Source organism: Homo sapiens, chromosome 4 (genome assembly GCF_000001405.40).
Source record: "Homo sapiens chromosome 4, GRCh38.p14 Primary Assembly".
Classification (NCBI taxonomy): Eukaryota; Metazoa; Chordata; class Mammalia; order Primates; family Hominidae; genus Homo; species Homo sapiens.
Genome location: NC_000004.12, coordinates 34,033,942 through 34,042,222, shown reverse-complemented (window position 1 = coordinate 34,042,222; position 8,281 = coordinate 34,033,942). Strand labels below are relative to the sequence as shown.

Here is an 8,281-nt window from a genome sequence, read left to right as displayed (position 1 = left end):
AGAAATTGCACAGCCATGTAGGCTCCTTGGGGACCTCTGGATCTAAAAAGGCCCTTCAAAGTAATTCCTAGTAGGGGAAAGAGGACCAGACCTTTTTATACCCCATGTTTATTTAGTGTGGCCACCATAGGAAGTTAATATGACATTGGCCAAGGTGTGTTTCTTCACTGAGACAATTCTTGAAATGACTAAGAGTTGAGGGCTGTTCACTGCAAAAATATCCAACAGCTGGAGAAAAGTCCTTCTGAACATGTATCTGAGCACACTGTGTGAGGTTTATCTCAGGGCAGAGACATAAGATGCTAGTATTCTGTGAAAATCCTGTAGAGTGGAATTTCCCTTAATTCAAGTTAACAGGAGATCCTTGGACAATCTTAGGAACAGCATCACCTTATTTCTGATTGTCCACAATGGACTTTGTGAACGAAGATGTCAATTAGCCTAAAGTACCAAAAATAAACTCTCAGTTTTTATATTATTTACAATTTAAGATGTTTTAATATAGAGAATGCATATGTGTATAGGCATAAATAAAGGTGTTGACAAAATGTAGATGTAGATGAGAGATATAGATATAGATATAGATATGGATATAGATATTGATCATCTCCATACTGGTCTGATTTAGTATTAAAAGATCTAATTAAAAACTTTCCTCCAGAAATAAATGCTACAACTCTTTTTATGTCCAATCAACATTAAGGGGCTTATAAATTAACATAATGAATGTTAGAAATGATTTTTTGTTGGTAATGATCAGTAGTAAAAATATGCAGATAAGGAAAAATACTTGCAGAAACTTCAATTCTGATAAGTTAAAGGTCTAGTGAAACCAGAAGCCCTCATCAGAATGGAGTCTTAGGCTTAGAACCCCGCATTCTCTTGGATCAAAATAGCAAAATATTTTGTCACAGGATAATTTTTAAATGATAATTGAATGCTGAAAAAAATTGTCCACACCAAGAATTTACCTGATTGTCTAAAAAAGTCAGAAATGAGAGACTTCGTCAGGATTGCAGAAAAGATTGCACAGCTGTGTCCACACACGTGTATGGAGTGCACACATGTTTGCTTGCTAACAAATATGTCAGAATATAATCTGTGACTTGGGTTTTGTTATAGCACAGCTCATGATAGTAAAGTTTTTGAAGAGAAAATATCCAGCCACTAGCTATCTTTAACTCTTGGAGGCTATCAATAGTTACTCAAAAAGCATCATAAATCTGAAAAACAAATTAGGTAGTTAGGTTGTAACACCAAGAAACTTGAAGTAACTCAGATCATAACCCACTGGGTTAATATTTAAATATAAAAATGAAGTTTCTTTTTTTACATTAAGATTTGCTCTCATAACTGCAATTATACCCAAACTTGCAACAATCACAAAGCTTTGTAGTATTTCCTTCCAATAAGAAAGATTATAAGGGATGGTTACAGCAAAGTTAAGCCACTTATAAAAAACTTGTTGGAGAAAAATAAGTGAAATAATCTGAACTCAAACTGCAGCTAAAGATAGATGCCACTTTTATAAAATACAGGAAAAAATTACTTATTCTGTGCTAAATAGAAATATCCATGGAGGAACAAACCCCTAAATGTTAATGGAGATTACATTACAGGGATAGGATAATTGCTAATTTTTTTTCTTTATCTTCATAATTTTTACTTAAAAATTTTCTAAGTTAAGCAATAGGACTTCTATACTTAAAAATTACTGAATTTAAATAATTTGCTTTATTATTTAAACAATTATTACCTCTTACTCTCTGCCATTGACTCATTCACATTCTCATGGATTTTATGGTCTTTATATCATGTTTTTCAATTTGTGGAGTCCAACTACAGTCATGCACCTCATAACAACATTTCTGTCAATGAAGAATTGCATATATGATGCTGGTCCCATTAGGTTATAACAGAGCTGAAAATTCCTTTTATTTGCTGATGATGTAGCCATCCTAGCCATCATAGCACAATGCATTACTCACGTGCCTGTGCTGATGTTAGTATAAACAAACCTACTGACCCGTCAGTTGCATGACAGTATAGCACATGCAATTATATACAGGACATAATACTTGATAATGATAATAAATAACCATGTTACCGGTGTGATATGGTTTAGATGTGTCCCCACCGAAATCTCAACTTGAATTGTATCTCCCAGAATTCCCACGTATTGTGGGAGGGAGCCAGAGGGAGGTAATTAAATCACTGGCCGGTCCTTCCCCTGCTATTCTCGCGATAGTGAATAAGTCTCATGAGATCTGATGGGTTTATCAGGGGTTTCCGCTTTCGGTTCTTCCTCATTTTCTCTTGCTGCCGCAATGTAAGAAGAGCCATACGCCTCCCGCCATGATTCTGAGACCTCCACAGCGATGTGGAACTGTAAGTCCAGTTAAACCTTTATTTGTTCCCAGTTTCAGGTATGTCTTTATCAGCAGCGTGAAAACGAACTAATACATGGTGTATGTATTTTACTATAATATACTTATTTATTACTATTTTAGAATGTATACCTTGTACTTATCGAAAAAAAGCAGTTAACTGTAAAACACCCTCACGTAAGTCTTTCAGGAGGTATTCTGGAAGAAGACATTGTTACCTTAGGATGGAGCTGAAGACAGCTCCATGTGTGCTATTAACCCTGAAGACCTTCCAGTAGGACATGTGAAGATGGAAGATTGATGATCTTGACCTTGTGTAGGCCTAGGCTAATGTGTATGATTATGTCATAGTTTTTAACAAAAAGTTTAAGAAGTTAAAAAACAATAATTTTTTTTTTTTTTAAACGGAGTCTTGCTCTGTCGCCCAGGCCAGAGTGCAGTGGCGCAATCTCGGCTCACGGCAACCTCCGCCTCCCGGGTTCAAGCGATTCTCCCGCCTCAGCCTCGTAAGCAGCTGGAATTACAGGCGCGTACTACCACACCCAGCTAATTTTTGGCCAGGCAGGTCTGGAACTCTAGACCTTGTGATCCGCCTGCCTCAGCCTCCCAAAGTGCTGGGATTACAGGCATGAGCCACTACATCCGGCCTAATTTTTAAAAGAAAAAAAGCTTATACAATTAATATATAAAGAAAGAAATACTTTTGTACAGCTATACAATATCTTTGTGTCTTAAACTTTTTACAAGAGTCAAAAAATTTTTTAAAGTTTATAAAATATAAATTACAGTAAGCTAAGGTTATCTTATTTAAAAATATATTTGTTTATTTAGTATAGCCTAAGTGTACAGTGTTCATAAAGTTTACAGTTGTATATAGTAATGTCTTAGACCTTCATACTCACTCACAACTCCCTCACTGACTCACCCAGAGAAACTTCCAATCTTGCAAGCTCCATTCATGGTAAGTGCCCTATACAGGTGTACCATTTTTTTTTATCTTTTATAGCATATTTTTACTATGCCTTTTCTATGTTCAGATATGTTTAGATACACGAATACATATCATTGTGTTCCAGTTGCCTACATTATTCAGTACAGTAACATGCTATCCAGGTTTTTAGTCTAGGAGCACTAGGCTATACTGTATAGTCTAGGGGTATAGTAGGGTCTACCATCTGGGTTTGTAAAACTACACTCTATGATGTTTGCACAAGGACAAAATTGCCCAACGCCACATTTCTCAGAACAAATCCGTGACATTCATCTGCTTAGCTTTACATTCACTTCACTCATCTACTTCTTCATATAAACTGCTTTATGAAAGCTGACCAATTCTCTTTTATTCCCCTACCACTAATCCATATAAAATTGTAAAATCCTTCAAAGCACATCAAGAATTCTTCTTCTATGGGTCAAAACATTCAAACAATTACACATCAAAAGATTGGGGGGTAAATTTGAGAATATTTACTCTTCCTCCTTTCACTATTACTGTCATTTCTGGAAAAAGAAATGGAAAGTTGTCCCATCCTTTATTCAAATACAAATGACAGTATCATTGAAAACTACACTAGTGATTTTTTTGTTTAATTTTGCCTTTTTTTTTACAGAAAGCAAATTGTAATCTATTACTTACACAATTGCTGGTGAGAAGCAAATTTTCTATTCAAAGTAATTATTGCCAATATTGCTAAATTATTGTAAATATTGTAAACTATTGTAAATATTGCTAAAATATTGACATCTGGCATCCCAAATATTATATGCTATAAGCTATTAAAAACGAAAATTAAAAATATTCAATTGTTGAATTAATTCAGGACCATACTATAAAGCATTAACAAAAAATTGGGAGTAATGTCCATTTTTGTAACTTTTCTATGCAGTATTTTTTACTATAATGGACTAATTTGATTTCAGAGGTCATGTCTTATTTTTTTTCACCTATTTATACCAAATATCTAGAATAATGTATTCTATTCAACGATTAGGTAAATATTGAATGAGTGAGTGAATAAAAATCATGAATAAATAAATGAATGGATGTTCAAAACTATGAAGCACTCATTCTCAAATATTCAGAGTTGCCTCTAAATAAATCTATTACTGAGGAAAAGATAAATGTATCATTGAGGAACTAGGCTGATTTAAAATTACAAGAACTTTAAAAAATTCAATTACGTTACAGAATTATGATCACTTTCATATTTGTTCTTGAAAAAAAAAGAATCACATGTATAACCAGCATTACTTTTCATATTTCTTGCTTTACCATGAACATAGATGTTACTATGTTTAATGATGTATCTGCTCAGTGTTCCTTAAGTGGTCTAAATGCTTAATGTGTTTGTGGTTCCAACACCTGTTGTATTTCTTATATTTCCCTTTGATGATGATCCTCAGAGGAAATTACAAGAAGTAGCATAATACTGTTTGAAAGAAGAAATTTTTTGTGATAAAATGAAAAGTGAAAGTATTTTCAAATGGAAGAAGTACTGGATGAGTAATGGTTAATGGAACATGTAGAATGCATTTGAAATTGTGTTAATGTATTAACATCGATTTGACTACCACTTTTCCTTGCTTTAGAAACTTCTACTTGCTAAGCAGTTGGTGGGAATTAATTAGCTACATAAAAAAGCATTGACAGTGTGCTGCTTTGTAAGGTAATGAGAAAATTAGAATTTGTTGAATTTAGAAAAATCATTGACACAAATTTTGGCTGAATATGTTTATTACTACACAGAATATCCTGAATAAAATATTTGAATCAGTATCTCATGTAGACACATTCTACAAGTTTAATTATGTAATAATTTTTAATAACTCCAATAAAGATACAAACATTTTACTCCATTTATTTCTTGAAACTACGGTATTTTTTTCTATATTTAAACAATACCTGAAATGCCTTAGGAAGATAAAGAGAAATTATATTAACAATGCATATTCATCTTTTTTTTTCACTAAAGGGCCTATACCTTCTGAAGTAATTATGAGCACAGTTGTTTTATTTTTATTGTAATTATGTAAATCATCTCAAAATTACAGATCACACATGAATAAATTGGTAAATTCAAAGGTTTTTGTTTCACTATTATCAGCACACATGTAATATTTCTTTAGTCATTTTAGGTGTTATCAATTCTAAAATGCATCCTTTAGAAAGTAAAATAGAATATTGGGAGAAAAAAGTTATTTAGAAGTAATACGTAATGTGATTTTATACTCTGCTTTACTTTTTCAAAAATGATCTTTTTTTTTCTGTACTTTAAATGACTCTGTGCTATTGAAGAATGCTCCAAATTTTGGTAGATCTTAATGGCTATCTGCTCTGGCTACAGTAATGTTTCTCTTGTGGGTAGAAGTAAACCTTACATCCCTCATATTATACATATGAATGTATTTTAGTTCTTGTGTAATAATTTATGAATCTGTTCTACAATTCATATTTATAATGTTTTAAGTGAGTTGTATACAACACCAATACCTGAAATATTCTACAACATTCACACTATTGTCATTTATATATTGAAGCTTAGAAAATATTCATTGAATGAATGATTGAGTAAACATGAGTGGTTTTGCCATGTTTCCTGGATTGGTTGTTCCATTTTTTTTTCATTCATTCACGTATGTTTATACATATTTATTTATTTATTTTGCAAATCAAGAGAAGAAATGCTGCAAACCCAAAAACAAAAAACTTTTTCTCTCTTTGGTCACACATTTCATGCCTCAATCATCTTGGAGGATTTATGCTTTGAAACACATAAGATTATTATTTCTCCAGCATACTGTGTGAATTTATGTCCTAAACTCTATTATCTATTCCTCGTAAAGCATGACATTAAATAAATAAAAGAGTCTGTAATCCCTTCAACACTATTGATGCATACCATCTTCCATGGCAAAAAAAGAGACTACATTGAGAAATGCAAAAACTACAAATGATAAGGATTAGAAGTCCTGGCAAAGACTCTAAAGTACCTTTAAGTTCAAAGAATGAAAGAGTATAAAATACAGAAATCTTCAAAATAAGGAATAATGATTAGTCTCCATTAAGACAATATTTAGCATCTAATCAAGTGAAAATGAATTTTGTGCAGAAATGTAGACAAGGAAAAAACTGAATTTAACTGAGGTAGCTCTCAAGAGTCAAATAGATATGCAGGCCTCACTTTTCAAGCTTTTCAGCTTTTTTACGAAGGACAATTTATTTAAGCTCCTTGAAACATAAGTTATTTCTCTGTAAAATGGTATAAATAACTGTAGTTGTCTCTTAAGGTTTGTTTTTTGTTACCTGATTTTATGATCTTTATAGGGTTATGAAAGTAATGCACTGTTACCTAGTATTGATTATTATAACACAGCATTCATTAAATGAAAGTTTTACTATTATGCAATAGTAGGTCTTACTGGCCAAATTTTAAATCGAGTACAAACATAAACCTGTGAATATTGGTTGAAGATTTGTATCATCAGGTGAAAGTGGCTGAATCTATGCAATGGTGAAGAAAACATGGACAGTGAAATAGTAATTGAAATGGGAATCCAGAAACATACATTGTTGTTCTGTGCTTCAGTCTAACTAGATTTGTGATCTTGAATTAGTTATTAAATATTTCTGGACCTCATATTTCTCAATCAAAAAATTAGATGATAGGCTTAAATGATTTCTGATGACATAAACACTTGCCAGAAACCAAGCTTTATAAAAATTGTTCTTGGAACATTTTCCATGATATCATTTGATATAGTAGAAGCTGTTCCCATTAATTCTGGAAGTTTGTGCATAAGCTATAAGCCTTTGGCTAGGTTATAGCACAATTAAGATGGTAGGTCTCTAAGAATTTCTCAGAATATTAACTTTTTTTTTTTATTGGGCCAGTTAACCCTGATAAGGTTAACTATGATCTTTGCTTTTGGCTTCTCTCACCCAAGAACTATTCTTCCTTGCCATGAAGGAGAAATGGAATTCAATAATATTCCCTGGTAGTAGGAATATTCCTTGATAATTGCAGTGATGTCCATATTGTTTCTTTCTCCAAAGTGGACAGCCCAGGAATTTCAGCAAACATAGCAAGTTCTAGGAGATGTAAAAAAAGAATGGTGGATCTAATGTTCTACATTTTTCCATGACTATGACAACCTGGTGATAAGAAACATAATTATCCAAACTTTTATTTCTAAATTTTTAAAAAACTGGAGTCTCTGCAGCTCTTCAAAAGAGCCTTTGAATCTCTTTCCAGAAACAGAACTAACGTATGTGCTCTAGAATAATTTTAGAATGTAAATTCCTTAATACACATTTACAAATACATATGCATATATATGTATTAAGTATCTACATTCATATTGTGTTGATTTGACTCAGATATCAAGCAACAGGAATGTGTTTAGTTTACGTCTACTACTGTAGGCTTTTTATTGTAAAATTATGCGGAAAAGAAGGGAAATGCAAGAAAATGTCCCAACAAATAAAGTGAAAACATTAAGGTCATATAAAGTGTTATTTATAATACTATATCTAGACTAAAGTCACCAAAATAATTCACAACTCAAACTCATACAATTTGGTTTCTATGGTGTCTACTTTTTTTTTTTTTTTTTTGCCTCAGCCTTACCTCTACCCTTCCACTTCTGGTTATTCTTGGTTTCTTCTGAAAAATGTTTTTTTTTTTTTCTTCAGAATGCTTGCTCTGCATATCATGTGAGTTTTACTCCATACAACTGCCTGAGAAAATTGCCTTTATGTCTGATGTTAATCAACTAACAAAAAGAGAGATTTGGCTGGGTAGGCTTAAAGATTTAAAGCCAGTCTTCCTCATAAAGCTACTGCCTTCCCTTATATTCAGTGAAACTTTTGGTCAGGCAACAATCTGTGGTCTGAA

The 8,281-nt window shown here is 32.5% G+C and overlaps 1 long non-coding RNA gene across 1 annotated transcript in view; it reads left to right on the top strand.

The window, feature by feature from the left end:
• Window positions 1-2,329: 2,329 nt before the first annotated feature.
• The window catches only part of LOC101928622 (uncharacterized), a 143,555-nt gene continuing 137,603 nt past the window's right edge, over window positions 2,330-8,281 (top strand). The window contains exon 1 of the long non-coding RNA NR_125902.1: window positions 2,330-2,388. This is a non-coding gene — a long non-coding RNA (uncharacterized LOC101928622). The remainder of the gene's footprint in view (window positions 2,389-8,281) is intronic.